General features: G+C 38.3%; 1 protein-coding gene and 1 long non-coding RNA gene across 6 annotated transcripts in view, besides 3 other annotated features; one reads left to right on the top strand and one right to left on the bottom strand.

Annotated features, from left to right (window-relative positions):
- CKMT2 (creatine kinase, mitochondrial 2) overlaps window positions 1-2,432 on the top strand; it is a 33,077-nt gene extending 30,645 nt beyond the window's left edge. For all 3 annotated transcript variants that reach the window (NM_001099736.2, NM_001825.3, NM_001099735.2), the window contains one exon: window positions 2,173-2,432. In NM_001099736.2, the coding sequence (NP_001093206.1) occupies window positions 2,173-2,292 (120 nt within the window). In that variant the 3' untranslated portion in view covers window positions 2,293-2,432. The remainder of the gene's footprint in view (window positions 1-2,172) is intronic.
- Window positions 1-12,378, bottom strand: part of CKMT2-AS1 (CKMT2 antisense RNA 1) — a 64,005-nt gene that overhangs the window by 26,402 nt on the left and 25,225 nt on the right. The window lies entirely within an intron of this gene.
- Window positions 4,487-5,686: an enhancer, noted in NCBI's record as "CDK7 strongly-dependent group 2 enhancer chr5:80564272-80565471 (GRCh37/hg19 assembly coordinates)". NCBI's record gives its function as "activates an origin of replication core promoter dependent on BRD2, BRD4, P300/CBP, MED14 and CDK7 cofactors, with strong dependence on CDK7, by STARR-seq in HCT116 cells {active_cell/tissue: HCT116}" and the evidence as "EXISTENCE:reporter gene assay evidence [ECO:0000049][PMID:35650434]".
- Window positions 5,763-6,315: an enhancer, noted in NCBI's record as "H3K27ac-H3K4me1 hESC enhancer chr5:80565548-80566100 (GRCh37/hg19 assembly coordinates)". NCBI's record gives its function as "activates a minimal SCP1, AML or CMV promoter by ChIP-STARR-seq in naive H9 embryonic stem cells {active_cell/tissue: H9 hESC(naive)}" and the evidence as "EXISTENCE:reporter gene assay evidence [ECO:0000049][PMID:30033119]".
- Window positions 6,316-6,866: an enhancer, noted in NCBI's record as "NANOG-H3K27ac-H3K4me1 hESC enhancer chr5:80566101-80566651 (GRCh37/hg19 assembly coordinates)". NCBI's record gives its function as "activates a minimal SCP1, AML or CMV promoter by ChIP-STARR-seq in naive H9 embryonic stem cells {active_cell/tissue: H9 hESC(naive)}" and the evidence as "EXISTENCE:reporter gene assay evidence [ECO:0000049][PMID:30033119]".

The raw sequence follows: 12,378 nt of genomic DNA on the forward strand, positions 1-12,378 counted from the left end.
TATCCCTCTGAGGGTGGCAAAATAGTGGAATTTTCTCTTGGTTCTGAATTTTCTTTGGTGAAGGCTACAAATGATCATCTTCACTTTGGTGTTCTTAGATACTCGATGGTTTCTAAACTTTTATTTCTTAGGCTAAAGATAGCAACTATGTTATGTGCTAGGTTTAGATAAGTTTGTGCTCATAAAATCCTTAGGATTCTGTGATGAATATGTAGGATGAAAAGGATTCATAGACTTTGTGTGGCCTGAAACAATGAATGAGGCAAAAAGATCACATGTAAGGAACATGCAGCTGAATGCTAAGCAAATACTGATCATGGTAAGTTATACCAGCCTATCTGGATGTGGTCCCATTGGACATATTATGCCCATCATTAATTTTAAAGCCTCTTCTCATAACAAAACCCTTAATAATTCAGTGACTGGTTATTAAATCTGTGGATTATCAAAGTTCTCTCTTCTTCCTTACCAGTTTTTGAATATTTCACTGCCTATCAATATCCCTACCAGTAAGTACACTGAGGAAAAGGAAAGGAAGAAACCCTCAAAACAATTAGATCAGCCAGTGTGCTATCAGCTCTGGTAAAGTACTTGAGGGACATGTAACTATAATACCACAACTTCTGAAATTTACTGAATAATGTGTGGTGTAGTGAATAAAGAAAATCTGGGAGTCTATCCCTGTTGATTCTAATATTAACTAGATATTTATTACTGGAAAACAATGTAGTTAATGCTTTAAAAATGTTAAGTCTAACTATACTAGGCAGTCACTATAAAAGTGAGGAAAATGCCAAAAAATAATTTAAAAACACCATTTATTTAACCCAACAACCCTGATAACCATTGTGAACATTATTCTAAATGGCCCTTCATTCTTTTTAAAAACTACCCAAAAAACTTGAAAAAATTGTTATAATACATGTTTAATATTATAACCAAATACTGGTTATAATTTTTTTCCAATGCATTATATCATGAACATTTTCCCACAATATTAAGTATTCTTCACAAACATGATTTTTAATCACAGTAAAGATAATCCATTACCTATTTAATGTTTTCCTGATTTTATGTTTGACCATCTCTCTACATAATTCTAATCACAACTCTGGTTATTTAGTTAGGATATACTTCTAGAAAAGGAATTCCTGGGTTAAAACCAGAGTTCCCTATTTATAATCAAGTTTTCTACCAGATTTATACCAAGATAGAGTCCTACTGGCAGTGAGTGAGAGACCTATCTCACCATACTCTCACCAACACTGGAAGGGATCAAAAGGATAAATAGAAAATATGTGTTTTAGTTAGTAGTGACTAACATTCTGATTCAACCCTCTCTTGGGGCCTAAGTTTCCTTATGCATATAAAGAGATAGATAGGGAGGCAGCTGGAGTATGTGATGCCTGAGAGCTAACATTCAATGGTCCCTTCCATCCTTGCTGCTCATTCTTTAGTTGTATAATGTATGTCTGGAATTAACTAATTTCTCTCTTAATTTGGGTTTCCTTGGGGGCAGTACAAGTCATTTGCTTAGGAGGTGATCCCAGGGGAAAAAAAAATTAAGTAGATGTGCTCTGGTTTAAGGAAAACAAATATTTGGAAACCAAAGTTCTATACAGAGTTTTTTAAGAACAGGAATTTTAGAAAGTATATCTTAATTTGCAAAACTCATTTCATTAATAAGCTTGCCTAGCATAGTACAAACATGATTTAGTTGCCAAACATTTGACATTAATTTTTCAGGAAGACACCCACTGTATTAATGATGATATCTGAGCTACATTAGCATATCCAGTGCTCAGATAGATTAGTGGCAGGTCAGAATTCAGATCCAGGCCAAAGAATAACACGAGGGTGTCACTGTAGTCTTACTTCTAGACAAACTCTGATATTTTATAGCAGACACTGGTAGGAAAAAATGTTAGAGATGCAAACTAATGGTTTTCACATAGTAAAAAAGCTTTCACATACAAAGTAGTATCCCCATCTTAACTATGGAAAGATTGAGAGAAACCCTTATATCTCTGCCTTCCATTTCTGAGAAGGAAGGAATTGTTGTGAAGTCCATCTAAGTGGCAAGTTCTCATTTATCACAGTGCTGTTCCTGTTAATCAATGCCCTGCAGATGCTTCTATTCAAATTAATCATTCATCTTCTTCACTGTCAAAGGTTGAGCTTGTTCAGATAGTCATCGATGGAGTCAATTACCTGGTGGATTGTGAAAAGAAGTTGGAGAGAGGCCAAGATATTAAGGTGCCACCCCCTCTGCCTCAGTTTGGCAAAAAGTAAACTTTCCCTTTCCCAATTTATAAATAATCTGTCTGCTGGTACGACAGACATAAATCTCTACTCTGAGAGTTTTTATACACTTGGAAAAATATAAAATTGTAGATCCTGCCTATCTTTACAATAAAACTCTCCTTAATATATCTTTGCTTTGTTTCTCTGATTTTTAAAATAATACTAAGAAGGGCAAACACATCCGATTACAAGTAGACAAGAAGCAAAATATTTTAAGACAATAAAACTAATATTTTAAGTTTTGATTTTGCCACAACTTACACACACCTCTAAATAACCCATTAGCTATCCAGATGTTAGTCAACCCTTTTGGAAATATCTTATGGACCCCATTGGAAAGTGAGAAATTAAATTAATATAATAAGCAATTTTCTGGCAAATGGAGCAAGAGGAGACTTACCTATTGAAAGTGTGGAAATAAAGACTATACAAAGAGAGGCTACTTATTTATTCAGACTTTGCTTTCACAAGGGTGTCAGCTATCATCACTTGCATTTGGCAGAGACATGAGAAATCTTCATGGTGAAAGAAAGGGGAGGCTTCAGATATGCTCTGATTGGGGTTGCAGGCATGGGGAAGTTGGAGACAGGCTACCTAGAAGCGGGGTATGCTATGTGATTATTTTGGGAAGCATATTTGGTTTTATCTGATTGGTCCTGAGTTTGAGGCAGGGGCAAAAATTAGGGAAGCCAGCAGTCATTGACCAAGTCCTGACCATCCTTTACTGATTGTTACAGAGGTTAGGGTTTGGTCTCCTAGAACGGTTGCTTTAGAGGTTGTGGGTGAGAGTTCTGTTGTCCTGTGGTCTAGCCATTGTCTCTGTATACTCAGTCTCTCAAAAACAATTCAAAATTTGATGTCTGAAATACTGAAAATGTTTTTAGCATAGTCTGAAAGCAGAATTCTTCCTTCAGCATGCAGATTGTTACCTTGAATCTTGTTATTTTCTGTCTATCCTGTGATGTCTATAGCCTGAAGGAACACAATAGAGTAGGTGGGAGCAATTAATTGTGTAACAAGTTAGGAAACAGCTCCACACAAAAAAGATAAATACTTTTTAATAGAAATGAGATCAAGTTATGCACCCTATAGTAAGTGAGCACTGCAGGTGCTACAGTTAAACTGGTGCTTTAGTGTATGCATTTGTATTCCCTCCTGCTATATTGAAAAAAAGTATAAGAAGATTACAATTGTGCTGGTGCTAATATGCACTACTCTAACTGGTATATGGTAGAAATTCAGAAAGAGGAAACCATACCAATATAATTTGGAACATCATGCTCAGTACCCCAAATGGTAGAGGGTGAAGGGCTGTTCCTCCAACAAACGCCTGGCAAAAGGGAGGATCACAACCTCAGGCAGTGGTTGATACTCTTGGGTTAGAGAAAGGGTAGAGAAGGCTGGTGTCATGATAAGCACACCGACTCTACAGCTGCATTGCTGGGGTACAAGTCCCAATTCTCCAATTATATGACATTGAGTTACTTAATCTCTAGGTTCCTCAGTTTCCTCTAGATAAAATGAAAACAATGATTATACCTATTGCATTGGGTTGTTGGGAGGATGAAATTAATTAGTATATGAAAGTTTACTTACCAGTGTTCAATGCACAGTATTATGTAGGCATTTGCTAAATAAATAAATCAGTATTATAATCATATAATGATCCATCTGTGAATATGCCTTAACAACACTATCTTTTAGGGCAAGCCAACAGGACTCATGGTCCCTCTTCTGAAAGACCTTATGAGCTAAGTGGTAAATGGAAGCAAATTCACATTGCTAAATAAGCATTATGCTCATAAGCATAAGTGGGCTGAACAGACTAGACAGATGTATATACCAACATTTCATTTAAGAAAAGCTGAAAAAAACAAGTATTATCATAAAGTATAGGGCTACTGACATACTAAGTCTTGTAATCTATACCACAACATCTAAAGCAACAGCAACATCAACAAGAATTAACTAAATATGTAAGGGACAGTGAATTCCAGATAACATCTCTCTCCTTTTTGGTGCTGCATTTTTATCTAATTTATTTCTCACCCCTATCCATTAGTTTTAATTCATCAATAACCTCAGTGACGTTCGCTTTCAATACTGGCTTGCTTACAGACTGCTAGTACTTCATCTTTAAATTATCTACATTTCAAACTCTTCATTTGTTGGGCTGTTTGACCTCTGGTATATTACCAGGAATGTACTCATGTGACTTTACTCTTTAGAAACAATATTCATAACCAAAGACAGTCATTTAAACCAAGTCTACAATGGATTCCTCAACACTCGATCTGGCACCTCACTTTTCTTCGAAATCCTCCATATTCATCAACTATCTTTTCCTGATAGGTCTTCAACCAATTTTCAGATTATGTAATAGCACTTAAATAGGATACAAGAATATGCTTTCTCCTCAAGCACTGACAAGCATTTGAGTGATCTCATCCTGTTTGCAGAAGTTGTGATAAGTTTTAATTTTGCCACAAGAAACAAGCACATTGGCAATATTACAGTCAAAATAACACCTTTTATAAGATGAGTCCATTGGAAGAGATAAAGGGACTTTTAATTATTAATTAAAATGCTAATTGAATACCATATCTTCCAGCCAAGGGAGTCATATAGCATGCAAATAGTTCCTGTTTACTAAAGTCTAGTTCAATCAGTATTCATCAAACAGTCATATGAACAGAGCATGGTTCTGAGTCATAGGCCTTTTAAAATTTGCTGCATTCCTTACATCAGAGGCAGATGCAATGAGAAAGCTTTGATGGCTGAAAAATCATTCTGGCTCTCTTCCACAGGGGAAGAGAAACAGGGGTGTTCTCCTTGACTTCTGAGCTTCCACAGTAAGTTGGCTTATGGAGACTGAGCTACTCTCCCCTCAGGCCAAATATCATAAAAGAGCATGTCTGAACGTTCTGAAAGAAGCCAAAATAATTTTTTTTTTTCCTTGAGACAAAGTCTCACTCTGTCACCCAGGCTGATGAAGTGGCACGATCATGGCTCAAACTCCCAAGCTCAAGCGATCCTCCCACCTCAGCCTCCTGAGTAGCTGTGATGACAGGCACACACCACCATGCCCAGCTAATTTTTAATTTTTTTGTGGAGACAGGGTCTTACTATGTTGCCCAGGCTGGTCTTGAACTCTTGGACACAAGCAATCCTCCGGCCTTGGCCTCCCAAAGTGCTGGGATAACAGGCATGAGCCACTGTGCCCAGCCCAAAAAGAAGTTATTTTGAGGTCAAAAAATTTGCATGAAATTCAGGCTCAACCACTAACCAGCTACATGACCAAAGGTAAATTATTTAACTCAATAGTCTTGGTTTCATTTGTAAAATGGAGAGAATTCCTGCCTTATGAAGTTTTTATGATGATTAAATAAGGCAGTGACTTTTTTTTTTTTCCTTTTACTGTAACCTATGGGAAGAAATATATTTTACATTAGAACCCAGTACACAAACAGGCAGGCTGCAGGCTCTGGGAGACAGCCAGAAAACTGTGAGTGCCCAAGGTGTGAAAGTGTGAAAGGGGGATCATTTGCCCCCAAACACACATCTTCATTGGGGAACCTGAAGGTCCAGATCACAGAAGAATTTGACCTTGCCTGGGAGCTGAGACAAATTTAGAGAGCTGAGCCAAATACAGGGGTAGGGGAAGCAACAGGAAGAGCCCTGTGAGTAACTTTCCATCCCCAGGGAAGCCATTTCTGACTCTGTCTCTCAGGTATCCTTGGGGAGGGCTGCCAGTGAAATTGGGGAAAGACCACAAGGAGAAGGAAATTTCCAGCTGAACTTTGTAACAATTTTGACCAAACACAAAGTCTCCTGGATAGAACCTGGGGAGGGGACAAACAGGCAGTGCAGATACAAGCACAGAAGCTGTGGCAGGCAGGGAGGCATGAAATCTGAAAGCCTTGCTTGCTTCCTCAGTCGGGAGGCATGGAGCCTGCGGCAAGTTCTCAGCCCTACTCACCCGCTGCCTGGAAATAAACAGCGCAGCTGGGGATGGGGCAACCGGGCCTCTTGGGTTGCATGGGAGCTGGTAACGCCTGTAACTGCCAGCTTTCCCCCACTTCCCCGGTAACATGCACGACAAAGCAAAGGCAGCCATAATCCTCCTGGAAACATAACTTCATTGGCCTGAGAACCACACCCCCGTACCCCACAGCAGCTGCAGCAACCCCCACCCAAGGAAAGTCTGAGCTCAGACACACCTAACCCTGCCCCCACCTGATGGTCTTTCTCTATCTGCCCTGGTAGCCAAACACAAAGGACATAATCTCTTGGGAGCTCTATGGCCCCGCCCACTGCCTGGTTCTCCCTATACTACTGCAGCTGATGCTCTCTTGAAAGTGCCACCTCCTGGCTAGAGGCCAATCAACACAAAACTAGCACACTAAACAAAAATACAACCAAGGACCCTCACAGAGTCCATTTCACCCCCTGCTACCTCCACCAGAGCAGGTGCTGGTATCCATGGCTGAGAGATCTGAAGACAGATCACATCACAGGACTCTTTGCAGACACTCCCCAGTACCAGGCTAGAGCCTATTAGCTCTGCTGGGTGGCTAGATCCAGAAGAGAAATAACAGTCACTGCAGTTTGCCTCTCAGGAAGCCACATCCCTAAGGGAAGAGGGAGAGCACCACATCAAGGGAGCACCCTGTGGGACAAAAGAATCTGAATAGCAGCCTTCAGCCCCAAATCTTCCCTCTGACATAGTCTACACAAATGAGAAGGAACCAGAAAAACAATCCTGGTAATATGATAAAACAAGGTTCTTAATACTCCCAAAAGATCACACTAGCTCACCAGCAATGAATCCAAACCAAAAAGAAATCTCTGAATTGCCAGAAAAATAATTCAGAAGGTCGATTATTAAGCTACTCAAGGAGACACCAGAGAAAGGTGAATACCAACTTAAAGAAATTTTTAAAATGTTACAGGATATGGATGAGAAAATCTCCAGAGAAGTACCATAAATAAAAAACAATCACAACTCCTGGAAATGAAGGATGCACTTAGAGAAATACAAAATACAATGGAAAGTCTCAGCAATAGAATCAAACAAATAGAAGAAAGAACTTCAGAGCTCAAAGACAAGGCTTTTGAATTAACCCAATCCAACACAGACAAACAAAAGAGAATTTTAAAAAATGAACAAAGCCTCCAAGAAGTTTGGGATTATGTTAAACAACCAAACCTAAGAATACTTGGTATTCCTGAGGAAGAAGATAAATCTAAAAGTTTAGAAAACATATTTGAGGAAATAATCAAGGAAAAACTTCCCCTGCCTTGCTAGAGATCTAGACACCCAAATACAAGAAGCTCAAAGAACACCTGGGAAATTCATTTTAGAAAGATCATTGCCTAGGCACAGAGTCATCAGGTTACCTAAGTCAAGACGAAGGAAGAAATCTTAAGAGCTGTGAGGCAAAAGCATCAGGTAACCTATAAGGGAAAACCTATCAGAGTAGCAGCAAGGGATTGGGGTCCTATCTTTAGCCTCCTTAAACAAAACAATTATCAGCCAAGAATTTTGTATAAGCTTCCTAAATGAAAGACAGTCTTTTTCAAACAAACAAATGCTGAGATAATTTGCCACTACCAACCCAGCACTACAAGAACTGTTAAAAGGAGCTCTAAATCTTGAAGCAAATCCTTGAAATACATCAAAATAGAACCTCCTTAAAGCATAAATTTCACAGGACCTATAAAACAAGATTGCAATGAAAAAAAAAAACAAAAAAACCCAGGTATTCAGGCAACAAATACCACGATGAATAGAATAGTACCTCACATCTCAATACTAACTTTGAATGTAAACGGCCTAAATCCTCCACTTAAAAGATACAGAATGGCAGAATTGTTATGAATTCACCAACCAAGTATCCACTGTCTTCAAGAGATTCACCTAACACATAAGAACTCACATAAACTTAAGGTAAAGGAGTGGGAAAAACATATTCCACGCAAACATCAAAAGCAAGCAGGAGTAGCTATTCTTATATCAGACAAAACAAATTTTAAAGCAACAGCAGTTAAAAAAGACAAAGAGGGACATTATATAATGATAAAAGGACCTGTCCAATAGGAAAATATCACAATTCTAAACATATTTGCACCTAACACTGGAGCTCCCAAATTTATAAAACAATTACTGCTAGACCTAAGAAATGAGATAGACAGCAACATAATAATAGTGGGAGACTTCAATACTCCACAGACAGCACTAGACAGGTCATCAAGATAGAAAGTCAACAAAGAAACAATGTACTTAAGCTATAAACTACAACAAACGGACTTAACAAGATATTTACAGAACATTCTACCCAACAAATATAGAATATACATTCTATTCATCAGCACATGGGATATTCTCCAAGACAGACCATACGATAGGCCACAAAACAAGTCTCAATAAATTTAAGAAAATCGAAATTATATCAAGTACTCTGTCAGACCATAGTGGAATAAAAGTGGAAATCAACTCCAAAAGAAACCCTCAAAACGATGCAAATACATGGAAATTAAATAATCTGCTCCTGGAATGATTCTTGGATCAACAATGAAATCTGAAATCAAGATGAAAATTGAAAAAATCTTTGAACTGAATAATAGTGACACAATCCATCAAAACCTCTGGGATACAGCAAAGGCAGTGCTAAGAGAAAGTTCATACCATTAAATGTCTACATCGAAAAGTCTGAAAGAGCACAAATGGACAATCTCAGGTCACACCTCAAGGAACTAGAGAAACAAGAACAAACCCAAACCCAGCAGAAGAAAAGAAATAACAGAGATCGACCAGGCACAGTGGCTCACACCTGTAGTCCCAGCACTGTGGGAGGCTGAGGTGGGTGGATCATGAGGTCAGGAGTTCGAGACCAGCCTGGCCAACATGGTTAAACTCCAGCTCTGCTAAAAATACAAAACAAACAAACAAACAAAAAACAAAACTAGCCGGGCATGGTGGCAGGCACCTGTAATCCCAGCTACTGGAGAGGCTGAGGCAGGAGAATCGCTTGAACTTGGGAGGCGGAGGTTGCAGTGAGCCAAGATCACGCCATTGCACTCCAGCCCAGGGGACAGTGCAAGGCTCCATCTCAAAGAAAAAAAGAAAAAGAAAAAAAGAAATAACAAAGGTCAGAGCAGAAGTAAATGATACTGAAACAAACAAAAATACATAAAATAAATGAAACAAAAAGCTGTTTCTTTGAAAAAATAAATAAAATTGATAGACCACTAGCAAGACTAACCAAGAAAAGGGGAGAAGATCCAAATAAGCTCCATTAGAAATGAAACAGGAGATATTACAACCAATACCACAGAAATACAAAAGATCATTCAAGGCTACTAGAACACATTTATGTGCGTAAACTAGAAAACCTAGAGGAGATGGATAAGTTCCTGGAAATATACAACCCTCCTAGATTAAACCCGGAAGAAACACAAACTGAACAGACCAACAAAACCAGGACCAGATGGATTCACAGCTGAATTCTATCAGATATTCAAAGAAGGATTGGTACCAATCCTATTGACACTATTCCAAAAGATAGAGAAAGAGAGAATCCTCCGTAAATCTTTCTGTGAAGCCAGTATCACCCTAATACCAAATCCAGGAAAGGACATAACAAAAAAAGAAAACTACAGATCAATTTCCCTGAGGAACACAGATGCAAAAATCCTCAGCAAAATACTAGCTAACCAAATCCAACAGTATATCAAAAAGATAATCCACCATATCAAGTGGGTTTCATACCAAGGATGCAGGGATGGTTTAACATCCACAAGTCAATAAATGTGATACACCACATAAACAGAATTAAAAACAAAAATCACATGATCATCTCAATAGATGCAGAAAAAGCATTTGACAAAATCCAGCATCCTTCTATGATGAAAGCCCTCAGCAAAATTGGCATAGAAGGGACATACCTTAAGGTAATAAAAGCCATCTACTACAAACCCACAACCAGTATTATACTGAAGTGGAAAATGTTGAAAGCATTCCCCCTGGAACAAGACAAGAATGTCCACTTTCACCACTTCTAGTCAACACAGTACTGAAAGTCCTAGCCAGAGCAATCAGACAAGAGAAAAAATAAAGGGCATCCAAATTGGTAAAGAAGAAGTCACACTGTCGCTGTTTGCTGATGATAAGATCATACACCTAGAAAACCCTAAAGAATCCTCCAAAAAGCTCTGGAACTAAAAAATGAATTCAGCGAAGTTTCAGGATACAAAATTAATGTACACAAATCAGTAGCACTGCTATACTGCAACAGTGACCAAACTGACAATCAATCAAGAACTCAACCACTTTCACAATAGCTACACACACACACACACACACACACACACACACACACACCTCAAACAAAAACCACTGAGGAATATACCTAACCAAGGAGGTAAAAGACCTCTACAAGGAAAACTACAAAACACTACTGAAAAAAATCATAGATGACACACACAAATGGAAACACATCCCATGCTCATGGATGTATAGAATCAACATTGTGAAAATGACCATACGGCCAAAAGCAGTCTACAAATTCAATGCAATTCCCATCAAAATACCACCATCATTCTTCACAGAACTAGAAAAAACAAACTTAAAATACATATGGAACCAAAAAGGAGCCCAAATAGCTAAAGCAAGACTAAGCAAAAAGAACAAATCTGGAGACATCACATTACCTGACTTCAAACTATACTATAAGACCATAGTCACCAAAACAGCATGGTACTGGTATCCTCATCTCTTACCTTATACAAAAATCCACTGAAGGTAGATCAAAGACTTAAATCTAAGACCTGAAACCATAAAAATTCTAGAAGATAACACTGGAAAAAACCCTCCTAGACACTGGCTTAGGCAACTACTTTATGACCAAGAACCCAAAAACAAATGCAATAAAAACAAAGATAAATAGATGGAACTTAAACTAAAAAGCTTCTGCACAGCAAAAGAAACAATCAGCAGAGTAAACAGACCTCCCACACTATGGATTGTGGGAGAAAATCTTCACAATCTATAAATCTGACAAAGGACTAATATCCAAAATCTACAAGGAACTCAAATCATGAAGGAAAAAAAAAAAATCCCATCAAAAAGTGGGCTAAGGACAGGAATGGACAATTCTCAAAAGAAGATATACAAATGACCAACAATCATATGAAAACATGCTCAAAATCACTAATGATCAGTGAACTGCAAATCAAAACCACAATGCAACACCACCTTACTCGTGCAAGAATGGCCATAATCAAAAAATAATAGATGTTGGTGTAGATGTGGTGAAAAGAGAACACTTTTACACTGCTGCTGGGAATGTACACTAGTACAACCACTATGGAAAGCTGTGTGGAGATTCCATAAAGAACTACAAGTAGATCTACCATTTGATCCAGGAATCCCACTACAATCCCCCTATTGGGCATCTACCCAGAGGAAAATAAAACATCATACAAACAAGATACTTGCACATGCATGTTTATAGCAGCACAATTCACAACTGCAAAAATATGGAACCAGCTCAAATGCCCATCAATCAACGAGTGGATAAAGATATACCTTGGAATACTACTCAGTCATAAAAAGGAACAAAATAATGGCATTTGCAGCAACCTGGATAGAACTGAAGACTATTATTCTAAGTGAAGTAATTTAGGAATGGAAAATCAAACATTGTCACTCATAAGTGGGAGCTAAGCTATGAGGACACAAAGGCACAAGAATGATACAGTGGACTTTGGGGACTGGGAGTAAAGGGTGGGAGGGGGGTGAGGGATAAAAGACTATATATTTGGTGCAGTGTACACTACTCGCATGATGGGTGCACCAAAATCTCAGTAATCACCACTAAAGAACTTATCCACGTTAACCAAACACCACCTGTTCCCCCAAAAACCTACTGAAATAATAATTAAGAAGAACAGAAACAAAGCAAATTACAACAAGGAAAAAGAGTAAACAGGCAAACACACGGATCATCCAGACATTAATGAGTCAATAAGAAGATAAGTCAATAAGTCATAACAACTTTATGCCTATACATC

Source organism: Homo sapiens, chromosome 5 (assembly GCF_000001405.40).
Source record: "Homo sapiens chromosome 5, GRCh38.p14 Primary Assembly".
In the NCBI taxonomy this organism is placed as follows: domain Eukaryota; kingdom Metazoa; phylum Chordata; class Mammalia; order Primates; family Hominidae; genus Homo; species Homo sapiens.